The sequence below is a fragment of the Homo sapiens genome, chromosome 4 (assembly GCF_000001405.40).
Source record: "Homo sapiens chromosome 4, GRCh38.p14 Primary Assembly".
Taxonomy (NCBI): Eukaryota; Metazoa; Chordata; class Mammalia; order Primates; family Hominidae; genus Homo; species Homo sapiens.
Genome location: NC_000004.12, coordinates 26912058 through 26927236, shown reverse-complemented (window position 1 = coordinate 26927236; position 15179 = coordinate 26912058). Strand labels below are relative to the sequence as shown.

The following is a 15179-nucleotide window of genomic DNA, read 5'->3' as shown; positions in this document are numbered from 1 at the left end:
ACATACGTGTGCATGTGTCTTTATAGCAGCATGATTTATAGTCCTTTGGGTATATACCCAGTAATGGGATGGCTGGGTCAAATGGTATTTCTAGTTCTAGATCCCTGAGGAATCGCCACACTGACTTCCACAATGGTTGAACTAGTTTACAGTCCCACCAACAGTGTAAAAGTATTCCTATTTCTCCACATCCTCTCCAGCACCTGTTGTTTCCTGACTTTTTAATGATTGCCATTCTAACTGGTGTGAGATGATATCTCATAGTGGTTTTGATTTGCATTTCTCTGATGGCCAGTGATGATGAGCATTTCTTCATGTGTTTTTTGGCTGCATAAATGTCTTCTTTTGAGAAGTGTCTGTTCATGTCCTTCGCCCACTTTTTGATGGGGTTGTTTGTTTTTTTCTTGTAAATTTGTTTGAGTTCATTGTAGATTCTGGATATTAGCCCTTTGTCAGATGAGTAGGTTGCGAAAATTTTCTCCCATGTTGTAGGTTGCCTGTTCACTCTGATGGTAGTTTCTTTTGCTGTGCAGAAGCTCTTTAGTTTAATTAGATCCCATTTGTCAATTTTGGCTTTTGTTGCCATTGCTTTTGGTGTTTTGGACATGAAGTCCTTGCCCACGCCTATGTCCTGAATGGTAATGCCTAGGTTTTCTTCTAGGGTTTTTATGGTTTTAGGTCTAACGTTTAAATCTTTAATCCATCTTGAATTGATTTTTGTATAAGGTGTAAGGAAGGGATCCAGTTTCAGCTTTCTACATATGGCTAGCCAGTTTTCCCAGCACCATTTATTAAATAGGGAATCCTTTCCCCATTGCTTGTTTTTCTCAGGTTTGTCAAAGATCAGATAGTTGTAGATATGCGGCATTATTTCTGAGGGCTCTGTTCTGTTCCATTGATCTATATCTCTGTTTTGGTACCAGTACCATGCTGTTTTGGTTACTGTAGCCTTGTAGTATAGTTTGAAGTCAGGTAGTATGATGCCTCCAGCTTTGTTCTTTTGGCTTAGGATTGACTTGGCGATGCGGGCTCTTTTTTGGTTCCATATGAACTTTAAAGTAGTTTTTTCCAATTCTGTGAAGAAAGTCATTGGTAGCTTGATGGGGATGGCATTGAATCTGTAAATTACCTTGGGCAGTATGGCCATTTTCACGATATTGATTCTTCCTACCCATGAGCATGGAATGTTCTTCCATTTGTTTGTGTCCTCTTTTATTTCCTTGAGCAGTGGTTTGTAGTTCTCCTTGAAGAGGTCCTTCACATCCCTTGTAAGTTGGATTCCTAGGTATTTTATTCTCTTTGAAGCAATTGTGAATGGGAGTTCACCCATGATTTGGCTCTCTGTTTGTCTGTTGTTGGTGTATAAGAATGCTTGTGATTTTGGTACATTGATTTTGTATCCTGAGACTTTGCTGAAGTTGCTTATCAGCTTAAGGAGATTTTGGGCTGAGACGATGGGGTTTTCTAGATAAACAATCATGTCGTCTGCAAACAGGGACAATTTGACTTCCTCTTTTCCTAACTGAATACCCTTTTTTTCCTTCTCCTGCCTGATTGCCCTGGCCAGAACTTCCAACACTATGTTGAATAGGAGCGGTGAGAGAGGGCATCCCTGTCTTGTGCCAGTTTTCAAAGGGAATGCTTCCAGTTTTGCCCATTCAGTATGATATTGGCTGTGGGTTTTTCATAGATAGCTCTTATTATTTTGAAATACGTCCCATCAATACCTAATTTATTGAGAGTTTTTAGCATGAAGGGTTGTTGAATTTTGTCAAAGGCTTTTTCTGCATCTATTGAGATAATCATGTGGTTTTTGTCTTTGGCTCTGTTTATATGCTGGATTACATTTATTGATTTGCGTATATTGAACCAGCCTTGCATCCCAGGGATGAAGCCCACTTGATCATGGTGGATAAGCTTTTTGATGTGCTGCTGGATTCGGTTTGCCAGTATTTTATTGAGGATTTTTGCATCAATGTTCATCAAGGATATTGGTCTAAAATTCTCTTTTTTGGTTGTGTCTCTGCCCGGCTTTGGTATCAGAATGATGCTGGCCTCATAAAATGAGTTAGGGAGGATTCCCTCTTTTTCTATTGATTGGAATAGTTTCAGAAGGAATGGTACCAGTTCCTCCTTGTACCTCTGGTAGAGTTCGGCTGTGAATCCATCTGGTCCTGGACTCTTTTTGGTTGGTAAACTATTGATTATTGCCACAATTTCAGAGCCTGTTATTGGTCTATTCAGAGATTCAACTTCTTCCTGGTTTAGTCTTGGGAGAGTGTATGTGTCGAGGAATGTATCCATTTCTTCTAGATTTTCTAGTTTATTTGCGTAGAGGTGTTTGTAGTATTCTCTGATGGTAGTTTGTATTTCTGTGGGATCGGTGGTGATATCCCCTTTATCATTTTTTATTGTGTCTATTTGATTCTTCTCTCTTTTTTTCTTTATTAGTCTTGCTAGCGGTCTATCAATTTTGTTGATCCTTTCAAAAAACCAGCTCCTGGATTCATTGATTTTTTGAAGGGTTTTTTGTGTCTCTATTTCCTTCAGTTCTGCTCTGATTTTAGTTATTTCTTGCCTTCTGCTAGCTTTTGAATGTGTTTGCTCTTGCTTTTCTAGTTCTTTTAATTGTGATGTTAGGGTGTCAATTTTGGATCTTTCCTGCTTTCTCTTGTAGGCATTTAGTGCTATAAATTTCCCTCTACACACTGCTTTGAATGTGTCCCAGAGATTCTGGTATGTGGTGTCTTTGTTCTCGTTGGTTTCAAAGAACATCTTTATTTCTGCCTTCATTTCGTTATGTACCCAGTAGTCATTCAGGAGCAGGTTGTTCAGTTTCCATGTAGTTGAGTGGCTTTGAGTGAGATTCTTAATCCTGAGTTCTAGTTTGATTGCACTGTGGTCTGAGAGATAGTTTGTTATAATTTCTGTTGTTTTACATTTGCTGAGGAGAGCTTTACTTCCAACTATGTGGTCAATTTTGGAATAGGTGTGGTGTGGTGCTGAAAAAAATGTATATTCTGTTGATTTGGGGTGGAGAGTTCTGTAGATGTCTATTAGGTCTGCTTGGTGCAGAGCTGAGTTCAATTCCTGGGTATCCTTGTTGACTTTCTGTCTCGTTGATCTGTCTAATGTTGACAGTGAGGTGTTAAAGTCTCCCATTATTAATGTGTGGGAGTCTAAGTCTCTTTGTAGGTCACTCAGGACTTGCTTTATGAATCTGGGTGCTCCTGTATTGGGTGCATAAATATTTAGGATAGTTAGCTCCTCTTGTTGAATTGATCCCTTTACCATTATGTAATGGCCTTCTTTGTCTCTTTTGATCTTTGTTGGTTTAAAGTCTGTTTTATCAGAGACTAGGATTGCAACCCCTGCCTTTTTTTGTTTTCCATTGGCTTGGTAGATCTTCCTCCATCCTTTTATTTTGAGCCTATGTGTGTCTCTGCACGTGAGATGGGTTTCCTGAATACAGCACACTGATGGGTCTTGACTCTTTATCCAACTTGCCAGTCTGTGTCTTTTAATTGCAGAATTTAGTCCATTTATATTTAAAGTTAATATTGTTATGTGTGAATTTGATCCTGTCATTATGATGTTAGCTGGTGATTTTGCTCATTAGTTGATGCAGTTTCTTCCTAGTCTCGATGGTCTTTACATTTTGGCATGATTTTGCAGCGGCTGGTACCGGTTGTTCCTTTCCATGTTTAGCGCTTCCTTCAGGAGCTCTTTTAGGGCAGGCCTGGTGGTGACAAAATCTCTCAGCATTTGCTTGTCTATAAAGTATTTTATTTCTCCTTCACTTACGAAGCTTAGTTTGGCTGGATATGAAATTCTTCTTCTCTCAGCTCGTCAAAATCATTCTCCATCCAGCTTTGTTCTGTTGCTGGTGAGGAACTGCGTTCCTTTGGAGGAGGAGAGGCGCTCTGCGTTTTAGAGTTTCCAGTTTTTCTGTTCTGTTTTTTCCCCATCTTTGTGGTTTTATCTACTTTTGGTCTTTGATGATGGTGATGTACAGATGGGTTTTCGGTGTAGATGTCCTTTCTGGTTGTTAGTTTTCCTTCTAACAGACAGGACCCTCAGCTGCAGGTCTGTTGGAATACCCTGCCGTGTGACGTGTCAGTGTGCCCCTGCTGGGGGGTGCCTCCCAGTTAGGCTGCTCGGGGGTCAGGGGTCAGGGACCCACTTGAGGAGGCAGTCTGCCCGTTCTCAGATCTCCAGCTGCATGCTGGGAGAACCACTGCTCTCTTCAAAGCTGTCAGACAGGGACATTTAAGTCTGCAGAGGTTACTGTTAATATATAATATATATAATGAGAAATATATTTGGTCTTTGTCCTAGGTTCCAGGCACAGAGATCCTAAAACCCTGGAAATTTCCTGATAGGTGAGTCTTTTGTTATTCACTATTGCCCCCATCCACCAACCTGAGTTTATGCTAACAAAGTGATTTAGGATAGGGCCCTAAATAGTTTCAGGATAAAGCTGGTTACTAGAAAGACCAAGTAATTAGAGGGTTGTAACTTTAAGTCCCACCCACTGACCTCCAGGAAAACTGAGCTCTACAAAAACTCTGTTACAAGGTTCAAGATTCAAAGAGCTTCCAGGCTGGTGGGCATATCAAGGTGCTGGGAGGGTGGAATGAAGAAGACATGGAAGCTCTGAGCACACCGCCCCCATACCTTGCCCTATGCATTTCTTCTATTTGGATGTTCCTGAGTTGTATACTTTAAAATAAACCAGTAAAGTGTTTTCCTGAGTTCTGTGAGCCATTTTAGCAAGTCATTGAAACTGCAGAAGCTCAGTTTTTGGGTTAAAATCTAAAACTGCACAGAGCATTCATCTACTTAACACTGTATACTCTCAGAGTTGACATGGAATTTGTTTGACAAAGCTAATCCTGTCATATTGTAAATGACTAAGAAAATGTACAATAATAATTTTAGAAAATCTCTTTGGTTTAGAGAATAAATTACCTCTATAAATTACCTCTATTTTATAAAAATATAAATATAAAAATATAATACAAACAGAGAAAAGGAGTAATGATAATGATGTTGAGAGAATGAATTATCCACTCATTTTAATAAAACGGCCCACAATAAATGACAACTAGTTTACGTTGTTTTCCAATAACAATAAAACTCTTAATAATCCATCAGTTTTACCTCACTCTTCCTTATGACCAACAGAATATACAGTTCAAATACTTTTTAAGTTGGAAGCTATGTAAGATAGAATTATCATATAGTCGGTGGTTCTAGAAATAAATAAATTGATCTACTTTGAATCGAAAGTAATGATTTTGGTATCGCTGGTACTGACTGAGCTCTAATCGAATGATTTTAATCATGATAAATAGCAGAAATCAACTGATGCAGAGATATTATAAGACTGAAGATTTAATATCTGACCTAATAAGCAATTAGAAATCACTAAGTCTCTTAGCTATCACACTCTCAAAGTGATAATCATGATGGATTAGAAAGGAAAAACTTAGAGACAGTAATCTAGACACAAGATTATAAATACCTAGATTAGAACAGAACAAGCAAATAACTAGAATGGATAAAAGGTAGTGGGGAAAGGAAGAAAAAGGAACATATTTTAAGAACACAGGAGCTTAATTTACAGCAGGGGTTGGCAAACTACAGCATGCAGGCCAAATATGGCTGGCTGCTTGTTTTTGCAAATAAAGTTTTATTGGAAAACAGCCATGCCCGTTAGTTCTTGTACTGTCTATGGCCGCTTCACACTATAGTGGCGGAGTTGAATAGTTACAACAGCAACTGCATGGCCCACTAAAGCTAAATAATTTGCCAACTGGCCTGTATTCGTTTCCATTCATTATAGTACTGCCATAATAAAGTACCATAAATTGGATGGCTTACCACGATAGAAATTTATTCTCTTACAGATCTGAAGGCTAGAAAGAAGTTCAAAATCAATGTGTCCACAGAATCATGCTCTCTCAAAGGCTCTAGGGGAGAATCTGTTCCATGCCTTTCTCTTAGCTTCTGGTATTGGCAGCAATCCTTAGCATTCCTTGATTTGCAGTTATATAAAACTAATCTCTGCCTCCACTGTCACAGAGTCATCTTCTCTCCTGTTCTGTGACTCCACATGGCGTTCTCCTCTCTTAGCAGAACACTAGTCATATTGAATTACAGGCCCACCCAACTCCAGTATGACTTTATCTTAACTACATCCGCAATGACCTTATTTCTAAATAAGGTCACATTCTGAGGTGCTGGGGTTTAGGACTTCAACATGTTTTTAGAGAACACATTTCAACCCATATCTTGGCCCTTTGCAGAAAAAGTCTGCCAACATCTACTTTAGAAGAAGAAGAATCGAGAAATAGGTCCAGAGGTGCAACTGAACAACAAGAGATTTAAAATAGCAAAACTGAGATTTTGTTTTACACATACTAAATTTAAAGCAACAGTAAGAGCCCTCTAAAAACATCAGGCAGAAAGCAAAAGGTCAGGGATCTAGACTGGCCTAGAGATAGAGGAATCAGGGCAATCTGAAAACAGATGGGCATTCTCAAATAAACGTTTTGTATAGCAAGCCAAGAAGTGATCTTCAGAGAATGTCTCCGTTAGATAACAATGTTACTAGACACTGTCACTGTTACATCACGAGATAATAATGTAGAAAATAATGTAATTTACTATAATATAATCTGAAAGAGAAGCAATTCAACAGTGACAAATCCAACAAAGGGACTGAAGAGGCCTGAAAAATGACCAGGGGATTTGGTTAGAATGAGACAACACTCAAAGAAGCCAACTTTTAGGGAGAAACTAAGACAGAAACCAGACCGGTAGGGTAAATGGGAATGCTTAAAAACTAAAGACAGTGGGTACAGTAAATTACCATGCTGGTGGTCTCCAAGGAATCACATTTCCTGGTTATCTATATCTTTGTAGAATCTTCTTCCACACAGATTCTGAGCTTAGCCAAATGACTTGTCTTGGCCAATAAATTAGCAACCACTGGCAAGCAGAGGCATGATAAACACTTGCACATGGGAACTTACCCTCTTGGAACACTAGCTGCCGTGCTGTAATAAAGTTTGAGCTAGGCTCCTGAATGATGAGAGGTAACATAGAAAGACATTATGCAGAATAAGAGGCTGTCTTAGATACTCCAGCCCCAACAGAGCTCCCAAGAGAATGCAACTTCCATAGTGACCTCGGCCCATATCTAAGGGTACAGAAAAACTGCTCAGCTGGGGCCAGTGATCCCACAGAATCAGGAGAAATAATAAACTGTTGTCATTTTAAACCACTACATTTGGAGTGGTTTGTAAAGCAACAATAGATAAAATACAGTCAGAATAGGATACATGTTTGAGAAATACAGGAACATGAGATGGAAAATTTTTATACAACTGGGAAGACTTATATCCAAATGGGGGGAAAAACAGAAAAACCATGTAAATGTTTATTAAGGGTAAAATTAACATGTAAAAAGAAAAATTAAAGATGTTGAAGATGAAGGCAATGAGCCACATGAGGAAAGAGAAAATTGAAGACCAGAAACAGAAATGCAGTCATTCTGTTCTAAGACAATAGCAAGGAAAACATTTTTCCACCTACTTCATCACTTTCCTCTACTTCAATTCCACCATCTTTGTCATCATCCATTTGTTTATGTATTGTTTGAAGAGCTTCCAGACTAAATCTGTCTTCTTCTGTAAAGCATGGTGGACTCAGTGACATGCAGGGATCTGAAAGAGAACAAAGGGCAATTACTAACTTGCCATACCAAAACAAAGGCTATAGTTAGAGAGTATAATTTAAAAGAAAACCAACAGAATTAAACTTCAGACTAAGTTAAACTAAGAGACTTTAAAACGTCTAACAGAATATTCTTCACATCAAAAGTATAATATATGAACACAACTGACTAAAAAGAAATAATCCAATTTAATTAACATCAGGCAACTACAACCAGGAGTTATGTCAGTACTAACTTCAGGTTATCTAAAATCTCTACATCTTTAACCATTTCTTCTTATCCAACCTGAATATTTACTAATCATGATTTACTAATCATTCCCCCTACCAAAAAAACAAATGATCTCCTTCCATTAAAAAAAAAAAACACTAAAAAATCACAGAATACAAAGTGCTATTTTTGCACAATCCAGTTTAATCAAAATGAGTCCTAGAAAATATCACCAAAAAAAGGGAAAGGAAATGTAAAATAGTCACATGACCCTTTTGTTTCCATTTTTCTATTTAAGATAATCCAAGAGTCTACCCATATAGCTTTTTTCAAAATACGTAAGTTCTTAGGTTCAACTATGACAACAACAAACAAAAGAAAAAGACTAACCAGATGTTTTTAAATCTTGTTCTTCATGTTATCTTTAATACACATTTACTGGTCAACCCTTTCCCTATGGAATATATGTGAATCCTCACATTCAGGTTGTCAAAAACTAAGTTAGAAAGCATGAAACATTTTTCAATGGCTTAACATGACTGATGGAAATTACTTCCTGTGCACATAACTAGCTAACAACCTATATACCAAAATGGGAAAGTACTGCCGCAGCTTCACTTATACCCAGTCTGGCTGACTGGCGGACTGACAAAATTCTAGGAACTTACTTCTCTTCTATCAAGTCACTACAATAACATTTCTTTAAAATGCCATCAGAACCACATATATTTCCAGAAATAGTATGGCCTTAAAGTTGAAAGTGGTTAGCATAAGACAGAGGTTAGCCACAGCTTAGTTATCTCATCGATAGTCTATCATCTGGCCCTACTATCAATTAGCTGTCATTAGTTAATTGTGGACAAATCACTTGTCCTTGCATCTTAGTTGCCTCATCCCTAAAATAAAGCAAGTAGAGATACTTACTAAGATCTATTGCAGCTATAAGGGCCTAAGAATATCTAATTCTGTGCTTAGGAGAAAAAAAGCTGGGAGAAGAGAAGCCAATATTTGAGGCCCACAGATAATTTTATTTTCTAAAAAAAAAAAAAAAAAAGTCAAACTGATATTACCTAACATGTTCCAATTACAGCTGAAAAAATATTTTGGTGTTTTAACATTTTTAATAGTTTTAATTCAAAATCTAATTTTAATTTCTTTAGTCTTAGAAGGGAAGTAATCAGAAAAGAAAGGAAACTATAAAAGTAGGAAATGCAATTATAAGTTCTGTGTGATATATAAATACGTGTACATACAAATATTTGGAACGCCAGTCAAGATTTGCTAAAATCCAAGAACTCGGAGGCATAATGGTCAATCATGATCCCTAATTCACAGAACAATCAAGACCCTGATGTGCCCGTAAGTTTGGATTTATTTGCAATTATTTAAAAGATGCAAAATAGAAGATAAGAGCTCAGGTACCAAAACAACATATAGTGTAAAGATCTGTATATAATACGTAGTTGCCTCCAGCAGACCTATTTTTTACACATAGTTTAATCTGCTAAAGAACAAAGTGAAGGTGTTCATTCCAACTGGTATATAAGGAAAGGGCCAGCATCTCTCACTCTGGTTAAATAGGCCTTGTTGTGAAAGTCTCTAAGAGGAGTCAACAGTGAGGACCATATAACCACAGGAAGCTTTAAGAGAAATTAGGAGCAACATGACTTGAAAAAGTCATAGGAAAATAAAATTGGTAATTATTTATTTAAATAGGCGTATTTCATAAACACTAGCTAATCTAATAAAATACTCTCTCTCAAGTCTACTTCAAGATGTTAATACTTCTCCATGAAGTCTTTCATAAACACTATTTCCTAGTGATCACTTCCTTCTCTGCACTCCATTCAATCCACTCAACAACTATCTAATGAGCACCTACCAAATGTCAGGCACCAGAAATACCATGGTGAACAAAACAGACAAAAATCCTCATAAAACTTATATTTTACTGGGGACTATGAACCTAACAAGATAAATAAGTAAACGGTATAGGCATGTTAGTAGTGGTAAACATTTAAGGGGAAAGTGAAAAGCAGATATGAAATGTCAAGGGATTTGAAATTTTCGATTTTATCTTCATTTTCTAATCATTCTACCTAAGTCCTCACTTAATGCTGTACTCGATTAAGCTTTAATTGCTTATGTGTCATTTTTGTCCACACAACTAAGATTATGAACAGGGCAGGGACCATGTTTCTCCACTTCTCACATAATACCCATTTTAGCTGAACATATTTTAAGCCTCTGATAAATTCTGTTACTTCATATATTAACTAAATTACAAACTTCTAGGCTTCTATCCTGTGCAAGGCAGTGACAGGCATTAGGAATTAAAGAGATAAGAGAGTATCCATACTCAAAAAAGCTCACAGTTTTGTGAGAAGGAAGACATGTAGACTCCTACAATGTATCATGTTAGGTAAAAGTTTTCTAGAGGTAAACTTAAAGAATTTTAAATCATCTGTAGCTGACAACCTTGAGAAGAGAGAACAGCATGCCTAGAAGCAGCATCATACGTTCAGTGACATAAAAAAAAAAACATAAAACATTAAGAAAAATGCAAGTGGTTTAATATGTCTGTAGTACAAAGATACCAACATACAGAAAAAAGAAGATCAGGTAGAGACTGCTAAAAGGCCAGATCTCTAAAAGCTCTGTTTCTCATACCAGGATATTTGGATTTTTATCCTAAAAACACTGAGAAGCTATTAATGGATTTCAAGGAGGGGAATAACACAATCAGATTCATTTAAAATCTGATAACTCTGGTGACAATGGAATGGGATGATGGCAATTCACCAGATCCCTCTGGTGACAGTGGAATAGGATGGTGACAAGACTGAGAGACACAGCTGACAGTCAGCCTGGCAGCACTCAACAGACCATGCCTCCAAGGAACAGAAACGGTAGATGATGAGACTGCTCTAGGGTTTGGTGTTTTGCCAAGTTTGAGCAGCAGAGGAAAGACAGGAGTTGAAGTTATGGCAACAGTGATCCATTTCTTCACATGAAATTTTATTTCCTTTAAAGTAAGACTCAAGGCTTTTACAAATCTAATTTAGAATAGCTGTGAATTCTGAACTCTATTACCTGTTCTAATGTCTCTTTTCGTTTTTAGTTGTTTACCTTCTAGTTAATTCAGCACATGTGATCATTTTAACTCAAATTAGCTGGCCTATACTTATTTTAAAATATACAACCTGCTAAAAAAGGTCTGTGCCTATAATTATAATGGTTTGAAAGGCAACTGCTACCAATATTGTTCTCCTTTGCTTATATTTTATAGACACTTTCTTTAGCTACCCAAAATGCCCCAGTGGACATCAGGTACTCCATACTAGTACATCTTCCTCATCTAAACAGAATTCACTCGCTAATTTAAACACGATATGCAGTGCCTATAATACGTCAGGCTCTGTGCTTGGTGCTGGGCACACAAGGCAACAACTAAGACAAATGTCCTCCCCTCAGTGCCCTCACCTTGTGTTAAATGCAACATAGTGTGATACAGCTTTTGAGTATTATATGCTAAGCATTCTTTTCTCTGGATTAACAGCAGCACTTTGCGCTGAGGGAAAAGAAACCAGCTGCAACAGAATGAGACCTAACCCAAGTCAGCTATCAACACCATTATTAAATTCCACCTTGTTTTCCTGTAATTAGAGCCAAATGCTCAGTATGGTTCTACAGAAATAAAGTAAAATGAATTAAAATTATTTCACCCACCAAGAAATATCTACTACAGGCTGGGCACAGTGGCTCAACGCCTGTAATCCCAGCACTTTGGGAAGCTGAGGCAGGCGGATCACCTGAGGTCAGGAGTCCGTGACCAGCCTGGACAACATGGCAAAACCCTATCCCTACGAAAAATACAAAAATTAGCCGGGCATAGTGGCATGCTCCTGTAGTCCCAGCTACTTGGGAGGCTGAGACAGGAGAATCGCTTGACCTTGGGAGGCGAAGGTTGCAGTCAGTCAAGATCATGCCACTACACTCCACCCTGGGTAACAGAGTGAGACTCTGTCTCAAAAAATATATATAAATAAAAAATAAAAAAGGAAGAAATATTATCCACTACATTCTAGAAACCAATACTATTTTATCTTCATAATTTATTCCCTGCAACCCTGTATGGGGCAGATAATATCTCTATTTTCCAGATGAGGAAGTAAGACTCATGAGTAACTTGCTTAAGATCACACTCCTAGAAATGACAACTGGGATTCTAAGTATTCACAACTCCAAATCTATGCTCAAGTGTCAGTATAACGAACATAAATGGGTCAGTGTCACCAGCATCAGAGAATTAAGTACCGCTATCACAGATATTGCCAGGACCTGGCTGAGAAGCTGACTGCACCAAGAAGCATAAATGTGCCCCGTGGAAGGAGATCATCAGACACCTGTGGAATGATATTCACAATCTAGAATACATATCTATACTTCCTGCCTTACTTTTCCTTTAGATAATCTATCTCCACTTTAATTTACACTCCCCTTGAACAAACCATTATATTAAGTATATTATATTGTATCGTAACTTTACCCTAAACTTGATTGGGAACATGCATTGTATTAATTTTTTATTCTCAGTATCTACCACAGTGACATATTTGTTGAATGGTTTAAGTATATGTAAATATTAGAAGCCAAATGAATTAGCTTCTAAATACAATTCATTTATGTAGCAAATATCTAAATGCCAGAGTCTAGGTTAGAAGCTGGGTACACAAAAGGTAAAAACAAATAAATAAAGATGGCAGATACAATGACAGATATACAAATAAACAATGGTGACAAAACTAAGGGAATAGTCATGTCTACATGCACAGCAAGAAAGGCTTCAAAGAGAAAGTGACATTTACACTGATTCTTGAAAGATGAGCAAGTGCTCTCTAGGAAGACAGGGATAGGCAAGAACATAAGCTAATGATTATTATATAACAAAAGGGTGATAATAACTATGAATATGGAGCATCCTTGTATTTATATTGCATAAAATATACTTATATAAAAATTAAGTGTTACACATTTCACTTTGCCCACAAAGTAGGCATTATTCCCACTTAATTAGATAATTAACAGAAAAAGTATAAGCGAAGGCCAGATCATGGAGGGATCTACAGATTATCCTAAAGTGACAATCAAGGAGAAAAAAACATTAATAAATTATTCACTGAAAGCCCTAACTTGCAGTTTCCTCCATTGGCAAAGCTCTTTCTTCCAAATATATCCATGGTTGGTTAACTCCTTTCATTCCAACTTAAATGATCCTCCTCAGAGGCTGTCTTATTTCCCTATGTAAGATAGCCTTCTCCTTCACTCTTTCTACTTGTTTAATTTTTCTTCACAGCACTTTATCACAGGGCAGTATATGAGTTGATTCGTTTGCTTACTAACTCTCCCGCCATAATGCAACCGTGAGATCACAGGCTTTGTTTTGATCATTCCTCTTTGCCCAGTGCCTAAACCAGTATCTGGCACACAGTAAGTGCTCAAAATATATTTGTTTACTAAATTACTTATCTAACAGGACTTTCAATATAAATATAGTTGTTTACTAAATTACTTACCTAATTGGATTTCCAAAATGTTTGAAAGAAAAAAGCTTTTCAAGAAATAATTTGGCTGATTAGAAAAGCAGGATGGAGAAATTAACAAAACTCACCTTTTAACACTGAATTTAAACCTAAGTAGTTAGTAGAAATCTAATAACATTACTCTTCTGCTTAAAACTATTCAGTATTCCCCAGGCCTAAAGTATAAATTCTATTCACTGTCATATATTATTGTTTAAATACTTATTGAACAAAATATGCAACATACCATACAAAAATAACCAAGGGGAACTTTAAAATATTTAAGACAGTGCTTAAGGCTCTCATACTCTCGTGATAGAGTGAAAACTCCATGAAGTCGAAAATAAAGTCTGTTTTATTGATTACTATACAATATTACTATGTATAGTTACTATACATAGTATAATACTATATTACTATATATAATTACTACTGTTATACATCTTATATGTAAATTATTATTGTATGTTACCAAATCTAATACATACTTTGCCTGACTTTTACATGTAAGCAATTGCATTTTCAGTGACCTTATGAAAGTGAAACTGGATTTTGGTAATTGGGAGTAGAAAAAGGGAAAACAAGAATAAACATAAACAGGAAATAAGATGAGCTCTGGAACCCACAATAAGCACAGACTGGCTAGCAGGCTAGTTCTCAACTGAGAGTGGTAAGGCCGCCTCCCTGCTCACTCACCCTCTCTCAGCTGCTACTGGCGGTCAATGGCGGGGGTGTTGTGGAGGGCAAGAATACTGAGTTAACTGCAATGCACAAGCCTGACAACTCCCACACAACAAAGAACTGTCCTCTGCTATACCAACAGTACTCCCCAATGGAAAGAAGAAACACCAGCAAAAGACAGGTGAAGTAGCAATCAAAGGTGAATGTGTCCATTTCATTTTTAATCTACAGCATATGTTTGCTACCAAAGAATGCCTATCACAACAGTCTAGGCAAGAAGTAATAGAATATAAACTATAGAAATGATAGTGGGGACAGAAATAAAAGATCATATTGAAGTGAGAACTAAATATATTAAGAGAAAACAGACAAATATGACTGGCATTTCAGGCCTAAAAGTCATCCTAGGTAAAACAAGGTACATTTTCATCTATCTAGCTGAGCCACACCAAACACAGAATTACAAAATGCATCAAATGCTATTCCCTTTGCCTTCACTAGAGGAATAAATATGGCATATTCTATACTTTGTCATCCTAGTCAATTGATATATGTGGGGAATACAGTTCAGAAACTTATGAAATTAAGAGCTTAAGAAAGAAATGAAGCTGAAAAAAGTAAGTGAAGTCTTTAGAGCTAGGTTCCCTCCTATAATATTATTTAAGTCAGCAAATTTCATGCAGAAAAGAACAACTAAGAAGGGGAGCCAGGTGACTCAATCACAAACTAAGGACTGCAGCCCACTAACAGTGTTTAACAGCATATGCCGCCGAGAACTTGGCTTACCACGCTGGCAACTATTTAGTGAATCTCATGATTAGGATTTTCTTCATTACTACCACTGAGAGAACTTTTTAAATAAGTATTGTTTGTATTTAGTACTTCCACTAATCGCTCAAGCATTTACCGAATCAAATACTTCAATACTTCAAATATTCAACGTGAGTATTTTCAGAGTAAAT

General features: G+C 37.1%; 1 protein-coding gene across 3 annotated transcripts in view, besides 1 other annotated feature; it reads right to left on the bottom strand.

The window, feature by feature from the left end:
* The window catches only part of STIM2 (stromal interaction molecule 2), a 164541-nt gene that overhangs the window by 98145 nt on the left and 51217 nt on the right, over positions 1-15179 (bottom strand). For all 3 annotated transcript variants that reach the window (NM_001169118.2, NM_001169117.2, NM_020860.4), the window contains exon 2: positions 7603-7733. In NM_001169118.2, coding sequence (NP_001162589.1) covers positions 7603-7733 — 131 coding nt within the window. The remainder of the gene's footprint in view (positions 1-7602; positions 7734-15179) is intronic.
* Positions 14116-14410: a silencer, noted in NCBI's record as "tiled region #12765; K562 Repressive DNase matched - State 8:EnhW". NCBI's record gives its function as "represses a minimal TATA promoter and a strong SV40 promoter by Sharpr-MPRA in K562 cells {active_cell/tissue: K562}" and the evidence as "EXISTENCE:reporter gene assay evidence [ECO:0000049][PMID:27701403]".